General features: G+C 36.7%; 1 protein-coding gene and 1 pseudogene across 2 annotated transcripts in view, besides 4 other annotated features; both read right to left on the reverse strand.

Annotated features, from left to right (window-relative positions):
- The window catches only part of SECISBP2L (SECIS binding protein 2 like), a 57,809-nt gene extending 36,765 nt beyond the window's left edge, over nucleotides 1-21,044 (reverse strand). For both annotated transcript variants that reach the window (NM_014701.4, NM_001193489.2), the window contains exons 1-7: nucleotides 20,874-21,044; nucleotides 12,189-12,367; nucleotides 9,932-10,256; nucleotides 7,563-7,698; nucleotides 3,051-3,280; nucleotides 2,742-2,766; nucleotides 1,963-2,078 (exon numbers count right to left, since the gene is read on the reverse strand). In NM_014701.4, the coding sequence (NP_055516.2) occupies nucleotides 1,963-2,078; nucleotides 2,742-2,766; nucleotides 3,051-3,280; nucleotides 7,563-7,698; nucleotides 9,932-10,256; nucleotides 12,189-12,367; nucleotides 20,874-20,897 (1,035 nt within the window). In that variant the 5' untranslated portion in view covers nucleotides 20,898-21,044. The remainder of the gene's footprint in view (nucleotides 1-1,962; nucleotides 2,079-2,741; nucleotides 2,767-3,050; nucleotides 3,281-7,562; nucleotides 7,699-9,931; nucleotides 10,257-12,188; nucleotides 12,368-20,873) is intronic.
- Nucleotides 10,450-10,744: an enhancer, noted in NCBI's record as "tiled region #10237; HepG2 Activating DNase matched - State 5:Enh". NCBI's record gives its function as "activates a minimal TATA promoter and a strong SV40 promoter by Sharpr-MPRA in HepG2 cells {active_cell/tissue: HepG2}" and the evidence as "EXISTENCE:reporter gene assay evidence [ECO:0000049][PMID:27701403]".
- Nucleotides 16,939-17,241, reverse strand: RN7SL577P (RNA, 7SL, cytoplasmic 577, pseudogene; annotated as a pseudogene).
- Nucleotides 20,501-20,640: an enhancer, noted in NCBI's record as "active region_9382". NCBI's record gives its function as "activates an Ori minimal core promoter by ATAC-STARR-seq in GM12878 lymphoblastoid cells {active_cell/tissue: GM12878}" and the evidence as "EXISTENCE:reporter gene assay evidence [ECO:0000049][PMID:35858748]".
- Nucleotides 20,931-21,280: an enhancer, noted in NCBI's record as "active region_9383". NCBI's record gives its function as "activates an Ori minimal core promoter by ATAC-STARR-seq in GM12878 lymphoblastoid cells {active_cell/tissue: GM12878}" and the evidence as "EXISTENCE:reporter gene assay evidence [ECO:0000049][PMID:35858748]".
- Nucleotides 21,381-21,510: an enhancer, noted in NCBI's record as "active region_9384". NCBI's record gives its function as "activates an Ori minimal core promoter by ATAC-STARR-seq in GM12878 lymphoblastoid cells {active_cell/tissue: GM12878}" and the evidence as "EXISTENCE:reporter gene assay evidence [ECO:0000049][PMID:35858748]".

The raw sequence follows: 25,576 nt of genomic DNA on the forward strand, positions 1-25,576 counted from the left end.
AACACGAAATTCACTTGTGTTTCACATACACCTTATGCACATAGCCGGAAGGTAATTTCATACATTATTTTAAATAACTGTATGCATTAAACAAAGTTGTGTTAAGTACTTATGTGTAGAATTTTCTACTTGTGGTATCATGGCACTAAAAAAGTTTCATATTTTTCAATTAAAAAATGGGCAAATGATTTGAACAGTCATTTCTCAAGAGAAGGCATACATGAAAAAATGCTCAGCATCACTAATCATCAGGGAAATGCATATCAAAACCATAATGAGGTATTTTCTCATCTCAGAATGCCTATTCTCAAAAAGACAAAAAAAAATGCTGGTATGCTGGTGAGGATGCAGAGAAAAGGAAACTCGTATACACATTGATCTTGGGAATGTAAATTAGTATGACCACTACAGAAAATAGTATAAAGTTTCCTCAAAAACTAAAAAAGAACTGCCATATGATCCAGCAATCCCACTACTAAATCCAAAGAAAAGGCCATCAGTATGTTAAAGAGATATCTGCCTCTCTTCTTTATTGCAGCATTATTCACAATAGCCAAGATATGAAATCAACTTAAGTGTCCATCAGCAGATGAATGGATGAAGAAATGTGGTATATATAAACAAGGGAATACTATTCAGCCATAAAAAGAACAAAATCCTGTCATTCACAGCAACATGGATGAGCCTAGAGGACAATATGTTAAGTGAAATAAGCAAGGCACAGAAAGATAAATAACACACGTTGTCACTCACATGTGGAAGCTAAAAAAGTTGATCTTACAAGTAGAGAGTAGAATAATGGTTACCAGAGGCTGGGAAGGGTTGAGGGAGAGGGATAGGGAAAGGTTGGTCAACAAATGCAAAATTACAGTTACATAGAGGGAATAAATTCTAGTGTTCTATAGCCCTGGTAGAGTGACTACAGTTAACAATAATTTAATGTTTATTTTCAAATAGGGGACAGGATTCTGAATGTTCCCAAAACAAAGAAATGATCTATGTTTGAGATGATGGATATGGTAATCACCCTGATTTGATCATTACACATTATATACATATATCAATATATCACACTATACTTTATAACTATGTACAGTTATCATGTGTCGACTAGAAAGAAAAAAGTTTCAGATGCTCTAAAATCCCAATCCCAAATCCAAAATGCTCTAAAATCTGAAACTTTTTTCTTGGATGCTCAACCTGTATTTCATTCCAGGGAGGCAAAGGAACAGGCAAAGAGTTAGTATATTTAACCCATTAGTAACTTGCTCCTATTTAAGTTTATTCACAGATGAACATGTCCATATAGTCATATGATAGTTTTAATTCCTTAAATAGAGTTAAGGAATCCAAGAAGGCCATCTGAAAAATGAAAAGGAAAAATAATGACCATTAAACAACTCCCTGATTTTACAGCCAACCAAAGCAGGAAGATACAGTTATGGGTAGTTCATGGCAGTGCACAGCCTGCTCTACTGTACTGCAGTTACACCTTGTTCCTCTGGGCCTCAGGAAACTGCTCTGTCTGACTACCTCATGGCAAGCCATCACTATGGCACTGCCATTAGCACAAAAGGGTATTTACAGTCAAGTAAAGACACGTGGACAAGGCTACAATCCTTAAGATCAAAGAATCAATATTTAAAGCACAAAATGCTTTTGAATTTTTATGTGGGAAAAAGACATGGCAAATGAAACAGGATTAAAGGGCATCCTTTTTTAACATATAAAATATTTAAATATACAGAAATGTAGAAAAATGGTACCATATATACCCACTCAACACTTTGCCATTTTGTTTCATTATTTAAGTAAGTTTATTAGCTAAGCCATTTTAAAGTTACACATGATAGTTCACTTCCAAATCACTCCATGTGCATATCCACTACACCACTGTAACTAACAAATCTAAAATGACTCATCTCATACCTAATCAATTTTCTCCAACCTAATTCGAATTACCTGTGAATTATTTCTTTGTTCAGTTTGCCTTCCACCTCTAGAAAATGTCTGATTTTTTTCCATCCAAGGTTTTTTCTGAGTTGCCTGGCAAGTTACATTGGACCAATTTACACCACCTATAACAAATGAAATTTTAAATTATAATTTACTTATAAAAGGTAGGAAAACCTAAATTGACCTGACTTCACATACTGAAATTCAGTCACTAGAAATGTAATAGTGAAAATTTTTCTATAAACCTTATTATTTTTTTTTTTTTTTGAGACAGAGTTTCACTCTTCTTGCCCAGGCTGGAGTGCAGTGGCGAGATCTTGGCTCACTGCAACCTCCGCCTCCCGGGTTCAAGCAATTCTCCTTCCTCAGCCTCCCAAGTAGCTGGGATTACAGGCGCTCACCACCACGTCCAGTTAACTTTTTTGTATTTTTACTAGAGATTGGGTTTCATCATGTTGGCCAGGCTGGTCTCGAACTCCTGACCTCGTGATCCACCCACCTCGGCCTCCCAAAGTTCTGGGATTAGAGGCGTGAGCCACCTTACCCGGCCCTATAAACTTCTAAGCAGTACTACAGCTCTTAGTAATACAAGTGTCCTCTTACAGAATACCTCCAGCTGGCATTTTCTCAAGCTGATCAGCAAAACTGTACTTCCAAATTACCTTGAATCTCTGGAAGACTTCTAAGTTTTTTTTGCAGTATCAGCAAGCCTCATGCTTAAAAGGAAAACTCTGATATGGACAAAGTAGAAAGTATAGCAAAAACACAATGCAGAAAACAAGTACCTGCACACATAGATGATTCCACATGCTAAAAAAAGAAACAAAAAGACAATTATACTCTACTTGAGAACCAACATTATGTACTTTGCTAAATGTTTTATAATTTATCCTAGTGTGAAGCATGCATATCACAATATTATCATACTTCTTCATAAATGAATATTTTTATTAATAAAATACAAAATACATTTGTAACTATCCTATTACTACAGGAATTGCTAATGAAAACAGATACTTAAGCTTTAGCAGAGGATGCAAAATAATAATACTGATATCAATGACCAATAAAGAAATCAAGACGATGTCACATACATTCATGGTCCCAGAATCAGGATTTCTCAAAGCCCCTGCTGCAGGCTGGTTGTTGCTGTGTTTGGGACTGCAGTAACCACTATCACTGTCAATGTCGGCTTCACTAGCCCCCTGCTCACTAGAAGATTCAGCAGTAGGGTGGGATGCTCTTCTTCTCCTGCCCTTGGACTTCCAGAGCATTGTTGCAGTGGTCTCTGAGAGAGACTTGTTAGCGATATCTGATGGGAAATCTACAAAGGCAAGGAAAGTTTGACAATTCTTTGTGATGAACAAATTGATAAATTCTCATTAAATCATCATTAAGATTGTAAGAAAATAGATACCAAACTTCATAAATGAAGAAATAGGTGACAACTTTTTGAAAAGGTCATTAAAAGGTAAGATGTTCCTGGTAAGTTGGTTCATAATGTTTTTTGTTTTTCTTGAGGCAAGGTCTCAGTCTGTTTCGCAGGCTGGAGGGCAGTGGCGCAATCTTGGCTCACTGCAACCTTTGCCTCCCAGGCTCAAGCAATCCTTCTACCTCAGCCTCCCAAGTAGCCGGGACTACAGGCACGCACCACCACCACACCAGGGTTATTTTTTGTAGAGACAGGGTTTCGCCATGTTGCCCAGGCTGGTCTCAAACTCCTGAGCTCAAGCGATCCACCCGACTTGACCTCCCAAAATGCTGGGATTACAGGCATGAGCTACCTCGCCCAGTCTATATGTTCTATATGTTTTTTATTATGAAAATAGAATAAAATATATCACTAAAATACTAAAACCACCATCAACCATTTAGGAAAGAGAACATCGTCAATCTTTTGAAGGTCACTGTGTGCTCCCCTCCACTACTATACCGTTTTCTTACCCAGAGCTTACAATCTATTCTGAATTCTGTGCATATCATTCCCTCACTTTTCTTTACGCATTTGCCATGGATTTCTGTATTTCTAAAACCTAAATCATATAATTTTCCAGTTTCTAACTTTATTTTAAAACGCCACTTTATCCATGTGACTTCTCACCCCTGCCACACCTCAACACTGGCTTTCAGATTCTGGTGCATGTGATTCATGCCTTTACATGAATATACCACAGTGTACTTATCCTTTGTACCACTGATGAGACACCTGAGTTGTTTTGGAGTTTTGCTACTAAGAACAATAGTACTGTTGACATTGATACACAGACACATGAACATGCATATATGCATATGTAAGTTTCTCTAAGGTAAATACTGCAAGAACTTAGGGGATGCACATATCCAACTTTACTTGATGCCAAATCATTTTCACAGGTACTTAATAGACAGTTATACTCCAACAGTAGTATATACCCCCAATGATCCACATATTCATTAAATACTTTACATTATCATCCAGACTGTACCTAATCTGTTGGTTATAAAATGGTGGCTCATTGTGGGTTTTAATTTGTATGTACCTGCTTAATAATGAGGCTGATCTTTTTTTTTTTTTTACTTTTAGCCACAGTGTTTTCCCTTCTGAGAAATTTTTATTAATATTACTTTTGAATTATCTGACTTCTGCCATTTTTCAACTGAGTTGTATTTCTTATTTACTTCACAAATCATAACTGTACCAAGACAGTCCAAAAAAAAAAAACAAAAAACAAGACTCTCTTTGAACAAATTACAAGTTTTCCTTTTTCCACATTTCTGCCGATTCATAATTTTTATACAACACTGATACAATTTTGAGTTGTGCTCTGCTTAATATGATGTCATGTCATGACAAGTCTTCATAATTATAAGATGACTCCATATTATTCCATTGAGTGGGTGTTCTGTACTTAGAGTAGTATCCAAGCAGGACTTGTTACCTGCTACTAGTGGACACTATGAAAGCTTCAGTACTTTTGCTGCACTGCTGCAATATGCATCTTTAATCAAATACCCCCTCTCTTTCTAGGGGGAGGCTCCATTTGGATACATTCATAGGAATGAGATGACTGCGTCCAAAGAAAAATTCCCATATTCCCGCAAAATTGTTCAGCCTGCTAGCACAGTGTTCCACGGGCCCCAAGGACAGGGTGGGATCATTCTCTTATTGATTCATATTAATTCTTTATATATCTCATGCTAATCCTTTGTCAGTTATATACATGGTAAAAGTCTTTTCCAAGTTGGGGATTATTCTTTCACTAACTTTTAATAAATAGAAATTCTTGATTTTAGAAATAGTTCCCTCCCTGCAGTCATAAAGTTATCTGCCTATATTTCTTCTACCATAGGGTTTCCCTAAGTCTTTAATCAATCTGAAATAGATTTGCATGGGGCATAAATCAGTAATGCTATCTGTCATCTTCCATATACATGTTTTCATACACATGTGGGGTCTGTTTCTGGGCTCTCTGTTCTGTTCAACTTTTGTATTCTGCATTGACAAAATAAACCTATAGGAATTAAGATGGCTTTACAAGTTTCCATATCTAGAGGAAAAGTTCTTTTCCAGGGATGTCTTGGGTCTTCTGAGACCACTGTTCCTTTATTTTAGCATTAGTTTATCAAGTTTCCCCAAAATCACTTTGAACATGATATTTAGGTTTTTCTTAATGTCCCATAATAAAGACTTATCATTTTCTTTTTTTTTTTTTTTTTTTTTTTCCCTTTTGAGACAGAGTCTTTCTCAGTTGCCAGGCTGGAGTGCAGTGATGTGATCTCGGCTCACTGCAACCTCCGCCTACCAGGTTCAAGTGATTCTCCTACCTCAGCCTCCCAGATAGCTAGACTACAGGCACGTGCCACCACACAGAGCTGATTTTTATATTTTTTAGTAGAGATGGGGTTTCACCATACTGGCCAGGGTAGTCTCGAACTCCAGACCTCAAGTGATCTGTCTGCCTCGGCCTCCCAAAATGCTGGGATTACAGGCATGAGCCACGGCGCTCAGCCTATTCTTACCATTTTCTGCCTATACATCCCATATGTCTTCTCTAAGATTTCTAGAAACTCTCTTTTTCAGTGTTATTGTTAATGACATCTTTTTTTTAAATTTTGTGGGTGGCAAACTGAAATGCAATTAACTTTTGTATATTATATTAGATCCAGCTATCTTATTATAAACTCTTATTAAATAATGAGCTTGTGTTCAAATGTAAAAATCTGTTAGAAATGGAAAGACATTCCTAATGAACTATAATATTTAATTCGATCTCTGATTGATACCAATTAATCCTCAGAAATTAAAAACTTAACTGAAGAATAAAAATACTGACAGAATTAAAATCCTCAGATTTGAAAACTAAAAATAAAAATACTAATAGGATGTATAATATATAACATTCTATTCAAATTTCACCTTCATCTTTTCATTTTCTAATTCCTGTGCCTTAGAAAGAATGTCTTTGTGGTTAAAATAATAAGCAACGTAAAGAAGTAAGGATATTTTAAAGCCTTCCCAGGGTTAAAAGCACATAGAAATGGGTCACTATGACTAGAGACAACCAAACCAGAAAACTTAGTAATATATTACATTATGATTCTTTTCCATAGCCACTCCAAGTATTTGTCAGTCTGTTAATCTCAAAGCTTCATGCCTTTATGCTTTAACCACACAATGACTGTACTATCAACAAGGCTTTTAAAACTGATTTTCAGATCCTTTCTCTGCTCCTAATGGATCTAAGCAACCGTAAAAAGATACATAGATCTCCAAAAGAAAGGGTATAATCTAAATGAAAAAAGTATAAGCCATCTTATTCATTTCAACTCAGACTTCATTTGAATGGAGGCTGTACAGAGATAAAAAAGCTAATTCTGCCTTTGAACAGATCTTGGCCTTGGATCACAAACAAAGATTTTTTACTAGTGTCAATAACTATGGGTGAGAGGAGATAAACATCTACTCTACAGATAGTTTCTGTACTGAGATCAAAGATACAAAGTGAAATTTCAAAATATAAACTGTAAAAAATAGCACATTGTAAGAATACTAATTCTTGTCTATTACCAGGTGAAAGCTTTTTTATTTAATGCCTGTACAGTCCTCTAAAAATTTTTGACAAAATGATATTTGACTAGTTCAAAACTTGTACTTGTTTAACAGGATATACATGACATACATAGGTTTGGTTCAGATCTATGCTAAAATATGGCATAGAAAACTTCCTAAGTTCTTTCTACAAAGATATATAGGATATTAGGATGTTTTATAAAGGGCTTTAATCTAGTTATAAAAACATGTACAATTTTAATTTTAACCAAAATGAGTTCCTCAAATTTCTACAGTATCTGCAAAATTCCATCTCTGATTTCTGAACCGCTCCATTATTACAAAAGGAAAGGACATCTTAAACCCGCCCAAAATTGTACATAAGGCCAGCAAGCAAATTGAAAGAACATTAAGGACACAGATTGCTTTATCCTTCCTAGAGAATTTCACAAAGTGGCAGGACAAATGAAAGGATGAAAGTCTACAATTCTGACAAGTGGTTCAGACCACAATTATAAAGTGAATGAATGAAAACAGATAAAAATCAGTGACGCACATGTAAGAACCCTTGCCTTACCAGTTTGCTGTGAAGCATCTACCAGAAGCACAATTTTTGATCGACTATCAGGACCTGCTGCATTTGTTTCTTTCTGAGTAGCTACATTTTTCACCAGCGGCCTTTTGCTTTTTATGTGCTGTTGTAAAAGCTGTTGCTGATTTAAAAAAAAAACAAAAAAACAAAAAACACACAACTATTCAATGTACTGAACATTATAAAAAACACATCTAAAATAAACATTATAAAATACACATCTTAAGTGTATGTTCACAATTCTTGGCTTCCATGGGGAAATAGTACTAGGGTTTCATGAAATGCCTGCAGCAAAGCATACGAGGCTAAACAATGTATTATACGCACATATATACACTTTTTCAAATAATAATTAACACAAGTATGATTAATAAATGAATTCATTTTTAACTGCTAATTTTCTCAGTCAAAAAAATAATTAATAGCAGGGGTATAATAATGTCATACAAGGGGTTGTAAATTTCTTTAAAAGGGTAGTAACCTATCCCAAAGTAAATTTTAGTTTCAGAAAAGCAATGACATGAAAAATGGTTTCTGCTTCAGAGTTCAAAATGAAAATATAAAAAAGCTGATCATGGCAGGGCACAGTGGTTCACACCTATAATCCCAAACTCCTGGGCTCCTAGGCTGAAAGATCACTTGAGGTCAGGAGTTTGGGACCAGCCTGGGCAACACAGAGACCCCCAATCGCTACAAAACAAACAAACAAACAAAAAAACAAAGGCATCGGTAGTCTTAGCTACCCAGGAAGCTAAGGCAGGAGGATCACTTGAGCCCAGGCGTTTGAGATTACAGTGAGCAATGATTGCTCTACTGTACTCCAGTCTGGCTGACAGAGACCGACCCTGTCAATCAATCAATCAATCAATCAATATTAATAAACTGATCTCTTCCTTTACTTTTAAAAATATAAGTATTCATCACTTAATAGCAACTTACACAATAGAACTCTGAATTTATTTAACTTCTTGAACGTCTGAAATTGAAGTGCTGGGAATGTATTCTAAGAAATCATGTTCCTTAAACATCTGTAAATTATATACTACTATCTTATTTCCAACACTTTTTTTTTCATTCTGAGTTCCCGAAAAGATATTTCTTGACCAAGAAAGTTTCCATGAACAAAAACTAAAAGCTTTTTAAAGCAATCTCTGCTGCTTGTATTTCAATTTTTAGAAATTATACGAGGAGGCAGCAAAGACTTCACTGAAGAAGTTGGGCTAATGGAATCTAGGGAAAGCATCAACTCCTTGATGATGTACTCATAAGATATGTCTAAGATGTCCCTCTTCTATCAGCTCAAAAGTGCCAACTAGAAACACATTCTTTCTTCCCATTAGCTTTGACAATAAGGCTTCAACTGTAAAATAGCCTTTTAAGTTAAAAAGTTAACTAAAATTAAACCTTAATTCTCTTGTGATTCAAAGCCTTCATTTCTTTCTTTTTTTTTTTTTACTTAGTCAAAAGGCTCGTACTGAGTAAGTGGTTTCACATATTTATCTTCCATTTTCTTCAGTCTTAGGAGACCCTTGTTCATATAAAAGTAAAGCACCTCTTAAATAACAAAGTGCTATTCCTACTAAAAATTCACAGAGTAGAAACAATAAAGTTGAAGCGATCTAATGAACCACAAATGTTCTTTTCCATAATGTCTCCAGCTAACTTTTGAAGATTGAAAGTATATCTTTTGTTTTTTTTTTTTTGAGACAGGGTGTCACTCTGTCACCTACGCTGGAGTGTAGTGGTGCTATCTCAGTTCACTGCAGTCTTGACCTCCTGGGCTCAAGCGATCTTCCCACCTCAGCCCCCAAGTAGCTGGAGCTACAGGCATGCACTAACATACCCAGCTAATTTTTGTATTTTTGGTAGAGATGGGGTTTCGCATGTTGCCCAGACTGGTCTCAAACTCTTGGGCTCAAGCGACTAGCCTGCCTCGGCCTCCCAAAGTGCTGGGATTATAGGTGTGGCCACTACACCTGGCCCATTGAAATATCTTGAAGTGCATTAGCCATTCAACACAGCTAGCACAAGATCCACACTAATCACTTACAAATGTTAGTGTCACCATGCAATTTTTATCACTAAATTTATTTGTAAATATTTCTGCCTTATGTTATGTAAAACTCTCTAAAGGAATGTGAAAATGATTATAAATCATATCACAATTAAGAATGAGGAACAAACAACACAAAGAAAATTATTTTAAGAATTACATACCCTTTACCATTTTACAATAGTGAACAATATGTTTTATAGTAAATTCAGCATTAATGGTCAATCAACCCAAGTAGCAAATTGCTTATACTAATATAAGTAATATCAAATTTAAAAGCCAATCAAGACCAGACACTTACTTTTGGGACCACTGATCCTCTGTTACTGTTTCTGCTTCGATGGCTGGACAATGGGAAGACCTGTCCAAGCTGACTTGGACGCTCAGTGCATTCTGTGGTGATAGCATTTACAGTATTTGCAGCCTGAAAGGTGTTGGAGTAAGGTGTAGGAAAAGGATGATAGAAACCCATAACCTGGGCACATGGTGCTGGCATCAGCTGATAATATGTATACTCTGTAGAAACAGGCGGCTGAGCAGATATAATGGGATAGGCAAAGTATGGTCCAGTAGGGTTTGGATTGGGTTGTTGCCATCGTATATCATTGTTATATAAAGGAAACTGTCTGCAAAACCAAATCAAAGAAGAACAAATCTATTGACAAGTCTAAAAATACCACTAAAGCAAAATCTCTTAACTTACACTAATAAAAGACAAAACAGAACAGTGGCTTCATGATAATTTTGGGAAAGGAGACAAAACTATCATCATCTTATAAATTTCTTTGCTATAGAGATCATTATGTACATGCAGTAACAATGTAAACAACAGTATAAACGAACCCAACCTGATGGTTTTACAGTATTCCACATACCAGCATTGTCTGTAACTCTGCCTTCCAATTCCTCAAGATATTTCTGCCTAAAAGTTAAACACCTAGCTACTGTATCTACCAACAATGGCAGTCCAAAGTTCCCATTCAAGGTACACAACCGTGACAGCCTTCTGTAAAGAACAGAGTAAAGTGACCATTGTGTAAGGTGATCTTTACATAGGGTGATTTAATTCCTCATTTTCAGCTCAATCTCAGAGCCTCCTACTCCTCCTCTCATACTCCCCTAATCACTTGGCCAAGTCCAGCTCTTTTCCTGGCTCCCCTCCTGGCAATAGAAGCAGGCTCTGGGTCCAAGGGAAAGAAGAGAAGAGGCAAATCTGTCCACTGACATCTTCAGGAGTGGAGCTTCTTCTAATGCAGTTCATATAAAACACTAGCAAAATTCTTCCTGTCCCAGCAGCCCCCTCACCAAATCAATATGGGGTCCTAAGGACTAGGGAGTTGAAGCATAGGGCTTTTCCTCATTACTCCCATGACAAAGCAAAATAGTAAAATGTTCACGGCCATATTCTTAAAAATATTTTTTAAATAATCTGTTGGCTTGTTTACTCATAAATTCACAAAGATTATTTGGTAAACCAAGAAAATCAATTAAGTTTATCATACTGTATACTTGGCCATTTTTTCAAATAGAAAAATAGTATTATTAAATTTAGTTTCATGAATCAGTTTGCACATTATCCAATATAGGCAAAGATATTTAATATCATGCTAACTTCAATTGAAAATGATTCCTTAGTTTCTACTATTTGTCTAACCCTCAAGACTCTTGATTAACAGCCTCAGAATATTAACTTGAACATTTAATATTTGAGTAGTTGAATGGCCTTATATACCATACATCCACAATTTCTCAAAGAATGTGCACTGGCACACTAATGTGCAACAGTGGTTTATAGATGGGTGGAAATATTGATTGACTCAGCCCTCAGGAATGACAGAGCCTATAGCCAGTTAACAGCTGCCTCATCCATTTACAGTCCTAGAAAAACGAAATTTTCTGTGTGACATAACTTGAAAAAGGCTGAAAGTACTTTTATACAGCCATAAAATAAACTATACCAATGAAGTGCTAATCACTCAGACAGTATAAGCAGGGTTAGAATGGCTATCACGACTATCATAAGTAACACCCTAACCACTAGGTTACACATGACCTAATTGCGGGCAATTTTGCTAAATCATCCTGTAACTATAGCACAGACATAAATTTAAACTAAAATCTGAGTCTAGAAATACTAATATATGCTAACCATGACAGCTTCAAAGTTAAGGACTATTGCTTGGTATTTTCTTTTACACCAGAGACTATCTTGGCAACTATGAGATTAGATGTTCAATCTCAAAAAAAAAAAAAAAAAAAAAAAAAAAAAAAGGTTTTTGTTCACCTCTGAATATTTTATTTCTCCCTTTGAGCTGACTTACTTCAAATAAATTTCAATGACTTACTGAAGGAGACATAGCCTAAGAATTCAATTTTCTCTTAGAAAAAATGAGAAACTAATCCATATCAACAATTTCCAAATTTCAGTATCATTTTATTTACTCCTCTTAATAGAGAAATGGTTAAAGTCTAAAAGTTGCAAAGGAAAAATATTAAGTGCACTTTGCCAGCTTTTATAGCCACCCCCACAAAAAAGAAAATAAAAATAAACAAATTACCTATTGGACTGGTTTTCCTGCACAAATGGGTAACAAGTAATCAGGTAGCTGGGAATTGGAGTTGGTTCCACACCAGAAACACTTCCATTATCATTTGGGAGAGCCATAGGGATCATAAATGTATCAGGACTCTTCTTCTGGGGAATAAATGGCTCCACCTCAGCTGACAGCTTGACATTCTTCAAAGAGAAAGTAGAATACATTAATAACAAATGAGCAAGCAACTTCCTACAAATTCAAAATTTAACAACAGAAGAGTCAGTCCTTATAAACAGTAATTAGGTCTCTTCTCAGCATTCATAAAACATCCAAAAGGAAGAGCAATGTCAATTTTAAAATAACTGAATAATGATCAAGTTATTTAGACAAAGCCATCAAATAAGGAAAATAAACCAAATGTTACATTTCAATGTAATTAAAGCTGTTAAAACAATCAAGAGAACACAGAAGTTATACCTCAGGTTCTAAAAATAAAGTTGGTAGTAAGAGATGTAGCTCTTCAGACAAAACAATGTGTTTTTAACTCATTTTGTTGGGGGAAAAATTGAACAAAATTATGAAGGATAATTATTACTCTATATTTGTTTGAATAGTCTTAAAAGTTGTCTATTTCTGTCCATTTCTGGAAATTAGATCAGTATCATTAAAAGAAAAAATGTCTAAGATGAAAAAATACTTAACATTAACAAGAAAAAATCTGCACAGTTAAACTGGGGAAAATATGAGTACTTCAGTTTCCCAGTACACATGTGAGTAAACTAAAGTAATCCAAGATATGTAATCCATTTTAGTTTACTTTGTATCTTTTCTTACAAGAAATCTATAGAGATTTAAAAGACATAAAAAAAAAAAAAACCCTGTAGTATTTAGGGATGCACATATGGGCAACAAAACTATAAAGAAAAGTAAATAAAATCCATAAAAGTCAGGATAGGAATTATTCTTAGCAAAGAGAGTTGTGATTAAGAGGAATCTGGAGAGCTTCCAGGGTGCCTGGCAAAGTTCTATATCCTAACCAGGATAAAATTTACAAGGTGTTTGTCCTGTAACAATTCATCAAGCTGTACATTGGTTTTATGCAGTTTCTATATGTTATAGTTAACAACAAATTTAACATTTTAAATTATTTTTTGAAATCATTAAGTACATTCTGTAAAAAATCATATAAATATTATAATATCAAATGATATGAAACATGTTTTAATGAAACCAGTAAGTGAAATGCAAGCTAATGTTTTTAACTACTGTAAAAAATTACCTTAAAAGCCATGGTCCTAGCCAGAACTTTTTCCCAACAAACCCACTAGGGTGATATTTATTAGAGGCTCCCACCAAAACATAGTTGTAAGAATAAATTTCATGTTTCTCACAAAAGCAGCTAGTAAGGAATCCAAGTAAAAAATCTGAAGATGAGATATGCTCATTTGTTTCAGAAAAATTAACTTCTCTAAAAAGTTCACTGTAAATATTTATAAATGCTTGTTAAAAGGGAAGGGGTGGGGATGGTAAAATCTGAACTGTCCAGCAGTATTAATTCAGTATCCTTCCTCCCTACCTGATTTGAGGTTTACATTTGTACTATTAACCAAATCAGAAGTAGATATACTATAATAATAATACAAATATTAGTGAACTGAAGTTGGTTTCTTAAAGATTAACATAAGAGGCAAAAATATCTTCAAACTCTAATGATACAAGCTAGTAATTTTCACTCTGTGATATTCATTAGAACCCAAACTCACTTATATAGGACACAATATATCAAAACAATAAATATTTCCCCAATTAGGAAAAAGAAAAGCCGACGTACAGCAATAATGCAAAGATAATGGAAGCTTGCTTTATACAGTTCACACATACATGCATAAGAAAAGAAACTGAAATCACAGTTTAACTGCACTAAAAATGTAATTTTTAGGATTTCTTTTTTTTTTCTTTCTTTTTTTTTTTTTTAGACAGGGTCTCGCTCTGTCACGGGGTGGAGGTGGAGGTGGGGTGCAGTGGTGTCATCATGGCTCATTGCAGCCTCAATCTCCTGGACTCAAGTGATCCTCCCACCTCAGCCTCCCAAGTAGTCAGGACTACAGGTGCACATCACCATACCCAGCAAACTTTTTAATGTAGAGATGGGGTTTTGCCACGTTTCCCAGGCTGGTCTTGAACTCCTGGGCTCAAGTGATCCTCCCACCTCAGCCTCCCAAAGTGCTGGGATTATAGGCATGAGCCTGGCCAGGATTTCTTTTAAAAAACAAAAAGTTCTTTACGACATATGAGAACTCACTGAGCAGTTTTATAAATCTGAGCTAGTAGACATTCGGGGTTTTTTTCAGCAAGGTATATGGGTACATCAAATTATCAATCTTAACCATACTAATATAATCATAAATAAATAATTTTAAAATAACACTTTTTCTGACCTCTCCCCCCAAAACATATCAACTCATAAATTACTTTGGTAGCAATACATTCAAATTCTTGCTCAGCTCAAAAGCTGCAAAAAATTTTTACACCCCACTTCATTTGTACTTCATAGAAAGTTTTATAAACTTAGGCAACCTACTGTTTAAAAGGTATTATGTATAATTCAAAACTAATGGCTGCACATATACACAGTATGTGCCTTTATTAAAGTTTGTATTGGTTTCTAAGTGCAATTCTAGTTATCAGAGTTCAACAATAAAACTCACAAACACTAAAATGATCCTTTGTTTTTAGCACACACACAAAAGAGAGAGAGAGAAGCTGCTATAGTCAACAGCTGCACAAACAGAAGATGTCACTAGTAGGAACAGACTGGCAAACTTTCTCCTATAGCTACAACTCTGTATGGTTTCAAAAGCTGTTTATTGTGACTTTGGGGCCTTCAGTAATATACATCAAAATGCAGCATCTGTTGTTCTCAGGACTGAAAAGGAGTGTTATGATCCCAAACTATTCTTTTTTTTTTTTTTTTTTTTTTTTTTGAGACGGAGTCTTGCTCTGTGGCCCAGGCGGGAGTGCAGTGGCGCAATCTCGGCTCACTGCAAGCTCCGCCTCCAGGGTTCACGCCATTCTCCTGCCTCAGCCTCCCGAGTAGCTGGGACTACAGGCGCCCACCATCACGCCCGGCTAATTTTTTTTTGAATTTTTAGTAGAGACGGGGTTTCACCGTGTTAGCCAGGATGGTCTCGATCTCCTGACCTCGTGATCCGCCCGCCTCGGCCTCCCAAAGTGCTGGGATTACAAGCGTGAGCCACCGCGCCCGGCCGATCCCAAACTATTCTTAAAAGTCCACATAATAAAGCCCATAACATTAACATGTTAAATAAATAACAAATTCTGGCAGTGTTTTAATTATATTATTATACAAATAAAAAAAAAAGCCTTGCATAGTGAACAACAAAATGTATGAAAAAACTAGACTAGATACATTATAGAACGTTATTCCTCAGTTTGAATTTCTGTGTTTAGTCTCTCTACTTTTGCCAAGATCTATTTTTTAGGAATAAGAACTTTCATAGCAGAGAGTTGTCTTCATAAAGGAAATAAATATGGAATAAATGTAAACTACACTTAACAAAGTCTAATCATTCTTGTATTATTTGCTTCACAAAAAAGCACAACCATCTACATAGCAAAACTATCTTCATCTTTCAGAAATTATTTCAGAATTTTCCAAATTAATGAAAAAAATCATAGTCCCAGAATCATCTTTGTAAAAATATTTAAGCAGTTTCATGTTCACTTTTTATTTTGTGTACATTAAGGCAAATGTCTATAAACAAAATGCCTTTGATGTAAATAATCTAGAAAGCTCAAGACTCTGTCAGAGTATGAAACAAAAATGTTATTTAAAAGAGTTTATTAGACAAATGTATTCAGATCATTGAGAGCCTATATAATTCAACAAACGTGCATTTAGCATACATTCCGGAAAGAGCACTGTGCTGGACTGGGTTAGGGAAAATGGGCAAACATTACCACAAAGCACACGTCGGCAGAGAATGTACACTAAATTCCTCAGACATGGAACCTCCAGATGAATGCAAATAATTTTCCCAGATTAAGCAATAAAAAACTGACACCCACTTAAAATCAAAACTGAAGTTGGAACATAACGAGACACTCTCCCACAGTGAAACTCCAGAGTATGTACCACACACCCACAGAAAAAATATGACCATGGAAACCCTCCATATTCTTTCTATGTTAAGGTAAAAATAGAATATCTCAAACTTTAAGATATTTTACATCTCATGGCAAAAGATAAAATAAATGTCCTCTGAAGGGAAAAATGATTAATGCTTAAGAGATAACTACTAGCTGTGCTGTTTTTTTGATTAAAATGCCGAAACAAAACACAGTACTTACACGTGTAAGTTTCACAGACTCCAGACAATAATGAGGAAGACAAATCAAAGTATTTAACTTAGATTCTGCCCATACTGGGCAGAATGCTTTGCTACCCATACTTTTCCTTTTTAAAAAACAGACCAAATCTAATGTTTTTTAAATCTGATGGTTACTTTTTTAAAAAACCAGCTTTCTAGATTTAATATTAGTTTCTGAATTATCCACTACTTTGTTTTTAACTTATTATTTTCTCTTTTGATTTGATGGAGTTTCCCCTCTAACTTCTTGCCTTGGATGCTTAATTTTCATTCTCCTTGTAAACTGTTTAACAATGAAGGCATTTATGACTATGCATTTGCCTCAGAGTATAGCTTCAGCCACATTCCATAGGTTTTTTGTTTGTTTGTTTGTTTGTTTTAGAGATGGGGTCCCACTATGTTGTCCAGGCTGGAGTACAGTGGCTATTCACAGGTGTGATCTCACTACTGATCAGCACCAGAGTTTCTACATGCTTCATTTCTGACCTGGGCCAGTTCACCCTTCCTTAGGCAACCTGGAGTTTCCCCACTCCAGGGAGGTTATCATATTGATGCTGAACTTAGTGCAGATACCTGATCCACATAGCACACTACAGTCCAGAACACCGAGGTAGGGTCAAGCGATGCCCCTGCCTTAGCCTCCTTAGCAGCTGGGACTACAGGTGTACACCACCATGCTGGGCCCCATAGGTTTTTCATATGTGGTATTTTATTATTAACACATTTTTAATAACCTATCATACTACTTTTTATTCTTTTTTGACCTAAGAGCTTGAAAATGTCTTTTTGGCCAGGTGCAGTGGCTCAGCCTGTAATCCCAGCACTTTGGGAGGCCGACGTGGGTGGATCACCTGAGGTCAGAAGTTCGAGACCAGCCTGGACAACATGGTGAAACCCCATCTCTACTAAAAATACAAAAATTAGCTGGGTGTGGTGGTGCACACCTGTAATCCCAGCTTCAGGAGGCTGAGGCAGGAGAACTGCTTGAACTGGGAAGGCGAGGTTGTAGTGAGCTGAGACAGTACCATTGCACTCCAGCCTGGGTGACAGAGTGAGACTCCGTCTCAAAAAGAAAAAACAGAAAATGTCTTTTTAAATTTCCAAATGCTATTTTCCCTAAATGTATATATTAATACTTTTTTATTATGAACATATTATTTTTTAAATCTGATAAGACAGCTCATTTACTTATATCCTTACGTAAGGGCCAACTATACGTATTACTGAATAATAAACATTTAAAATAACTTATTTAGAATACATTTCATTTGGAGTACTGACATTACTTAAAGTTTATAAATTATTTAAAGGAAACAATGAAAAGCTAGACAATTTTCTATCCTGATTGGTAAAACGCATGTTGCATGAAATCATACGTATTCATTAGTTTTTCCAAAAATTAAAGACATTAATAACTAGTAATCTTATAAATTCTTTTAAAAGAACTAATGTTAATGTACTAAAAATTAAGCCAACATTTAAATTATTTGTGATAACAGAAAAGAGACTGTTAACCTCAAGTGTTCTGTCACTTCTAAGCCCATTGTTTACTTTAAAAAATCTCAATAAATTTCCTAAAAATAGAACCAGTAAGCCTTTATAAACAAAATGAACTCCATGATTTATCCTTCACATCTCAAAATGCAAGTTTTTTTTTTTTTTTCAGGGGAAAAAATGCATTATATACCAAGCAACACATATTCTTAGAATATTTAACTCTGGCAGTTAAAATTAAGCTAGCTATTTTGATTAAATACAGAGAATACTCTATAAAAAGTGCTGAAAGAGGATACTCCTAAGATTTTCTTCTAGTTATAACATTCTTTCAAATAATCATTATTGCAATTAAGATTATCCATCTAGCACTGTATTCCCAGTAAGTTACTTTTTACAATCTTGATCAGCACACATACAATTTACCTTTTCTATAAAAAGATTTTATATATTAAAAAAAGGTAATTCACAAGAACAAGAACATGAATGCCTTCAGGCAAAAAAAAAGCGTTTTTTTTTTAAAGTTACACTTGTAAAGTACACAAGGATTTAATTAGGTTAAGATAAAATGCAGAAAGTCTATATTAAGTACTACTTTTTAAAAACCAAACTTCTATGAATTGCTAACTACCACAATACTATAATGAGTAAGTTTTAATGCTGTAGGCATCTAGAGAAATTCTGAGTATGTCAACACTGGTCTAAAGGGAAAAAAACATTCTGTGAGGAAAAATGGAAATTGACACATATTACATATACTTTTCAATGACGTCAATCTACCTAAATTCACTTCAATAGTAGAAATACAAAAGTATAATCCAAATATCCTGGAAAAGCCATTACATGACTCTATGGCATAAAGAATCAAGAATTCCACAAAATTGAGAAATCTCAGTTCCCAATCTACTATTAAGTTAATGGTTCTTAGCCGTCCTTTGAGAATACGATGAAAATAATGGATTCTTGCCCTAGAAAAAGGCATATAAAGAAGCATACTCCTTCTAGGTCATTCATGGACCCCTGAATTAACTGCCTATCGCATAAATGAGGTGAAGACATCACTTTTCTATATATATTTTCTGAGTGTATAGGGAAGTGGAGGATTTTCAAATTATTCTTTCATTTAGGGTTAGGCTGGGGAAGAGGCAAGAAGTACTGGAAGAAAAAAAAGTCAACAGAAAACCTTCTTCCATGTTTTTTTCCTAGTTCTTAAATTTCTACAAGGTTTTAATAGGTCGTGGACTTTGGAAAGATGTGGAAAGGGGAAAAGGCTCTCTAGTTTAAATAATTTGCTCACAGCACTTGCTGCTAGGATAATCACAAACAGCTATGCTAAAAATTACCATCTAAATAGTTAATTATATTTCCTCTAGGATGAAAGGAACTCTAAGTATACATAAGGTAGCATTACTGGTTTTAGTCCTGGCATCCTAGTGAAGGAACAAAATGTTGAACCCTTTCATTAGTAACACACATACAAGGAAATGATTCAAGGAAAATTCGTATTCATTTGTCAGGCTTTGAAATCTCAGGTATTTATGATAGATACCTTCAAAAATGTTTTTAAATTAAACTAGATACAGGCTGTATACAGAATACTTCTGGGTCACATAAATGCCTAAGTGTATTTGCCAAGAGACTCTGTATCAATTTCTCTTTGGTAATTCCATGTATTGTTTTATAAAACTCATTTGTGTCTTCAGAGTTACATTCACATAAAGCTTTTTTTTAAAAAAAAAAGTCTTCTGTAAAAACAAGTATACACAACTAGGAAGCTGTGCTTTGCCTGCTAAGAGTCCGATTTCAAAATACAAACCGGCTTCAACTACATATAGACACATACAGGAATTTGGGAAATCTTATCTCATTAATTCAGGTGCTAATTATCCAACTGTAAAATTAATAGGCAGAAATTACTAGCCTCTCTTCTTCCGTCATCTAGTCATCAATGGGCAAGGCCTTCGAAGAAGGGAATAGAGAGTGAATAAACTTGGACTTCAAATTAAGTCGTTTCGCAGAGATCTTAAGAGTGGAAAATACTGGGGGGGAAACTATTGTTTTCGATTACTTTTAACACTGTTATCATCCCTGCCTGCTACCACCTACTAGCATGCATAATCAGGAATTTGATGCAAATAAAAATAAAACAGAACACTAATAGGACTACTTTGCGAATATGAAAACGGGTTCGAAAATAAGCTTATGCTTTACACCCTTAAAATAGAGCTAGCTTTAAAAAAAAACCCACTAATTACAATTCTTTGCAAAATAACTGGATAAAAGGACAAGGGGAAATCGTAGTATCGTTTCTTAAAAGAAACACCTCCGTAAAACCACTGCAAAAACAATGCTTCGCTCCATTGAACACAGACCTAAAAGGCCCGTGACTTCCCTTCATCTGTAGTTACCACACATTCTCTTACAGTCTTTCTGGGTGAGAAGCCTTCAAACGCCTTTCCACCTTGAAAACACATTCCAGAGCTGAAGGGAATGGGGGAAGCGGGGAGACTACTAGAAGTTATAAGCCCTCCTCCCAGGAGAGCAGGGACAACTTGGAGCCTTCTGACCCCTTCACCAAGCAGGGGAGAAGCGGCAACGGCGAGCCCTCCGCCTGGGAAGTAATCAGGGTTGGAAAAGCCCCCAAGTCCCAGGCAGCAGCTGGAACAATGAAGGAGAGCTGGGAGCTGCCAGGCTCCCAGGTGAGGGGGTCTGCGGCCGCAGGACCGGCCCCCGGTCCCCACGTTCGGAGAACTGGGCCTGGCCTGTGAGGAAGCGGCGACCCCAACCCCCGGCTCGGCGGGCCCAGCCCAAACCCGCGTACCTGCTCCGTGGGGGCTCGGTCCATGGTGCCTGCAGCCGCAACGGGCCCGCGCTAGTCGGTGTAAACAGCGCCTCGGGCCGCTTTCTCCATGGCCCCCCGCTCGGGTCCAGACTGGGTTCCGGACCTCCGCCCCTATCTGGCTGGCCGCGACACCGATTCGGCTACGCCACTGGCCGAGGAGGCGGCTCCAGCTCCGGGAGATGGAGGAGGCGGTGGCAGCTTCGGGGAGGGATCATCTGGGACGGAAGCCGAGGAGGGCCCGAATGGGCTGGAGGCGTAGTTAGAAATGGAGGCGCACGGAAGGAAAAGGAGTGGGGAGGAGGCAGAGAGGGGCAGTGGGCGGAGTGACAGCAAATGGCCTCAGCAAGGGTAGGAGGAACCCGGCCTGGCCTGGAGGCTAAGGCCAGGTGGAGGCGCCCAGGAGCAGGTGCCCCGAACCACACGCCACCCCTGCGACTGTTAAACGAGAAGTGTCAGACCACTTGGGACCCAGGTCTCCCGGGACTTCAAAGACCTCTTCAGGATCTGAAACCACCTCTTAGTGATGTTGGAAAAGCTTTCATCTGCCCACCGTACATCTGCTCCTTCCTTATGTTACGCAAATAAAGGGAGTCATGACTATAAAGGAATGAGAATATTCTGAAAATAATGGAGTCTTGCCCTAGAAAAATGCATATGTAAAACGCATACACAGAATGACTGGAAGAGGCCCGCTAGGAAGCTCCCCACAAATATTTATTGAGAGTTAATTCATTATCCAGGTTCATGCCCACTTCTAGGCTCACATCCAGGCTGACCTCGCCCATCTCAGAAATCCTAATTTTATGCAGGATCTGTATAACACCACCCAACGGGTAATTATTTTATCTTCAGATCCTTAGCTCCTTAAGGGCAGAGACTGTCTTGAAACTGGGCACTACCGTTAGCATGGCAAATTTCTTCTGGGCATCTCCTCAGACACACCCTCCAACACCCACACCCTCTGTGAAGATTCAACCAACTGCGGATAGAAATATTTTGAGGAAAAAAGAAATATCAAGTACAACAATAAAATACAAGTAATACAGTTTAACAACTGCTTATACAGCATTTACATTGTATTAGGTATTATAAGTAATCTAGAGATGATTTAAAGTATATCGGAGGATATGCATGGATTGTATGCAAATACTACACCATTTTATATAAGGATCTTTAGCACTCATGGATTTTGGTATCAGCAGGGATCCTGGAGCCAATATCCCCCCTGGGATACTTAGGGACAACTGTATAAGCTAAATTACACTTAAGTGAAGGTAGAGTTGAGGTGGCTGCTGTTTGGGGCACTGGTGTGGAGATCCACAGCTAGGAATGGGAAAGAGATTTTAAGAAATTTGCTTTGTCATGCTTCAGGAGATATCAGTAAAGACTAATTGCCTTTTCAGTTAGTCTAGGTTATTAGTCTGGTTATTAGACTCCAATATGAGGCTTGTTATGTGAAGGCCCCTTGCTGTACTTATGTTGATACAGGTTGGGTATCTCTAATGGAAACTATGAAATTCCAAACCCTCTTGAATCCCAAATGTTCCAAAATTAGAAACTTTCTGAGCACAGACATGACATTTAAGGATAATGTTCGCTGGAACATTTCAGATTTTGGACTTCCAGTTTAGAGATGCTCAACCAGTAAGTATAATGCAAATCTTCCAAAATCCAAAATCTGAAACACTTATGGTTTCAAGTATGTCAAAATAAGGGACATTCAACCTGTATTATATATTGGCCTGCTGAAAGGAGCTATATTGTGTCAGCAAGACTTATATCAAGGCTGGCAATAGAAACATCTTGAAAGGAGAAACATTTATATTTACACATTTATATTTACATTTAAATATATTTATTTAATTTTAGTAAATTTTCTGCCACCTCAAATTTAATATCAATGCATGTGTATTTGAACTGCAAATTTATGTAACATTTGTAAATATATGTGCAATTAACGTAATGTTAGGTCCCTGGTGCCTATCACACACCTAGCTGGGATTCAGTGAATGCTGAATGAATTTAGGGTTGGTTGCTCAGAAAAACTAAGTTATTTATAAGGAGTAGTTATGTAAACTAACAGATGACCGTCCTCCTTCACAATTGAAAGACAAAATAACTGAATTTTCAGATTGTCTTCCTACTGGTGGTCTATAGCCATAATATACCCTCATCTGAGTAAAAAGATAATAGCAATGCACTCATAAAAATACTATAGTACTTTTGCTTTTCTTCCTTCTTCTGAGGAATGATCTGAGGAAATTTAAATATAGGATTCCCAAGGATCTTTCCACATTATAGGATTTTTATGACTGTAAAATTGTTTTCATTGAGAATCTATGTACAAGACATTCATTAAAATTATAAGAACAGAATCATAAGAATTATGAGAACAGAAATGTCACAATGCCCTTCTCATTTAATGTAATCTTTAAAAAGATGGCAATAGCTAGTAGATAAAAAATTAAAATCTGTGAAAAAAAGTAAGACATATTAAAAATACTACACTTTACAGATGATATAAATGAATGCAAATTATTTTATTCACCAATAAATATTTAATGTGCAAGGTACTATGCTAAATACTAGAGGTACAGCAGTTTATGAGACACCTTGAGGGCTGAGACCATGTTTGTCTTGTGGGCAAGACATGCATAGGAGAAGTCTTTATAAGTGAGATGAGTGTAATGAAAAAGGAAGTATAATAGGTGCTACCATGGTAAGGGATGGAAGGTCAGGGAAGGCTATTTGAGTAAATAGCATCTACAAAAAGACCTGAGTAGGAGTTATGATCAGTAAAGGAGAAGAAGTAGGAAAATTGTTTCAAGAAGAGGAAATGGCACATGTTAGCATTCTGAGGAAAGAGAAAATTCAGCCTTTAGTACTCACACAAGCTCATCCCTTGGAATGAGGGTTCAGAATGTGAGGGATAATCCAATAGATGAAGGCCTCTGAGAAGCTCGGAGGGGATAGGACACAAATACCAGGGGCAAGAAAGAGGCCTTTGATGGGAGTAGGGGCATGTTATCTACTGTAACAGAAGAAAGGAAGAAAAGATCAATATGGCTACAGATTATATACATTTGTAAGTTTGGTGCCAAAAGTTGAGGGAATGCCTAATGGCTTCTGTTTTCTCAGTGATGTAGGAGGCAAGGTTACCTGCTGACAATAAAGAGAGGTGGAGTTGTGGTGACTAGGCACTTGTCAAAATTCAGCAAACATATAGTTAAATTATGTACATGTCATTATATGTACATTTTATCTCAAAAGAAAAAACTATAACCAAATATTGAATTCTAGCTTTAACAAACGCATACACCTATGTAATTCAAATCTCTATCAAAACATAGAATGTCACCATTACCTCCAGTGACATTGAAAACTTCTCTACTTATATCAAATGCTTGTCTTATACATTGTTGTTATTCTTACTACCTATACCAAAGCCTAGCATGCAACAGGTGCTCCACAAATATTTATTGAATAAATGAGCTGTAATATTATATTAAATCAGGATTCTTTCATCCAGGGTTGGGGTTTTGTTAGGCATGTGCATTTTATTGAAGGAGCAGGATTCACTAGGGTGCAAGTAGAATTATTATTTATTGTCCTGTACCTTCAAATTCTCTGAAGATGATTTCTTTTTCTGCCTTGGATGAAATCTCGTGAAGGTCACACAAACTTTATTCCACGTCAAAACTTCTCCTTTTCCCCAGCTCAGTCCTGCTTCAAGCTGGAAGCCTGCAGTGAAGGACGTGGCTTGGTCCACTTCAGTTTTGTTTTCTACATTTTTTATCTCCACCTCCTGTACCTTAAATACTCAGATTAGGCTTTTAGATTTCTCTAGGTTTGGACTGTGAGGGGGAGGATGGCAGAGCTTCTCAGATGTTTAATTACTACTTTCCTGCATGTTTACATGCAGCAAAGTCATCTCAGAGCAGTCACTTATGACCCTAGCCCTCAGCCCTTGTGCTTCTGAGGGTTTAAATCTCAGCTTGATCAATTTGGGGAAGAGCAAGCCAGCCTTATTTGCTGGATTCCCTTTTAAAATGGCTTCAGGCAGAATTCCTGGGATCCCATCAATCCCTGGGATCATTTTGCTACACTTGATTTATCATGTAGCTATCCATCCCTCCGTCCCTTTATCCAGCTATTAATTTGTCTTATTTTTGGTGCATGTCAAAGTAGATTACAGACTTCAGTACACTTTGCCCTGGGAAAAACTTATATAGCTACAGTAGGCAAAAATGCAGCTTGTTCCCACTGTTTCTCTCAGGTCCTTGTATTCTACCACACTCCAGGCAACATGTATCAAGTTCTCCAAGTGTTTCCCAGAAAGTTTCTCTCACATAGCTTGAGGTAAGGGGAAGCATCTCCTTTTGCCCATGGGAGGTGTGGGTATGTATAAGGTATACAAAACAGTACCCTTCGTGAGTCATTGTATTAGTCTGTTTTCATGCTGCTAATAAAGACATACCTGAGACTGGGCAATTTACAAAAGGAAGAGGTTTAATGGGCTTGCAGTTCCACCTGGCTGTGGAGGCCTCACAACCACAGTGGAAGGTGAAAGGCACATCTCACATGGTGGCAGACAAGAGAACAGAATGAGACCCAAGTGAACAGGGTTTCCCCTTATAAAACCATCAGCTCTCATGAGACTTATTCACTACCGTGAGAACAGT

The sequence above is a fragment of the Homo sapiens genome, chromosome 15 (assembly GCF_000001405.40).
Source record: "Homo sapiens chromosome 15, GRCh38.p14 Primary Assembly".
Taxonomy (NCBI): domain Eukaryota; kingdom Metazoa; phylum Chordata; class Mammalia; order Primates; family Hominidae; genus Homo; species Homo sapiens.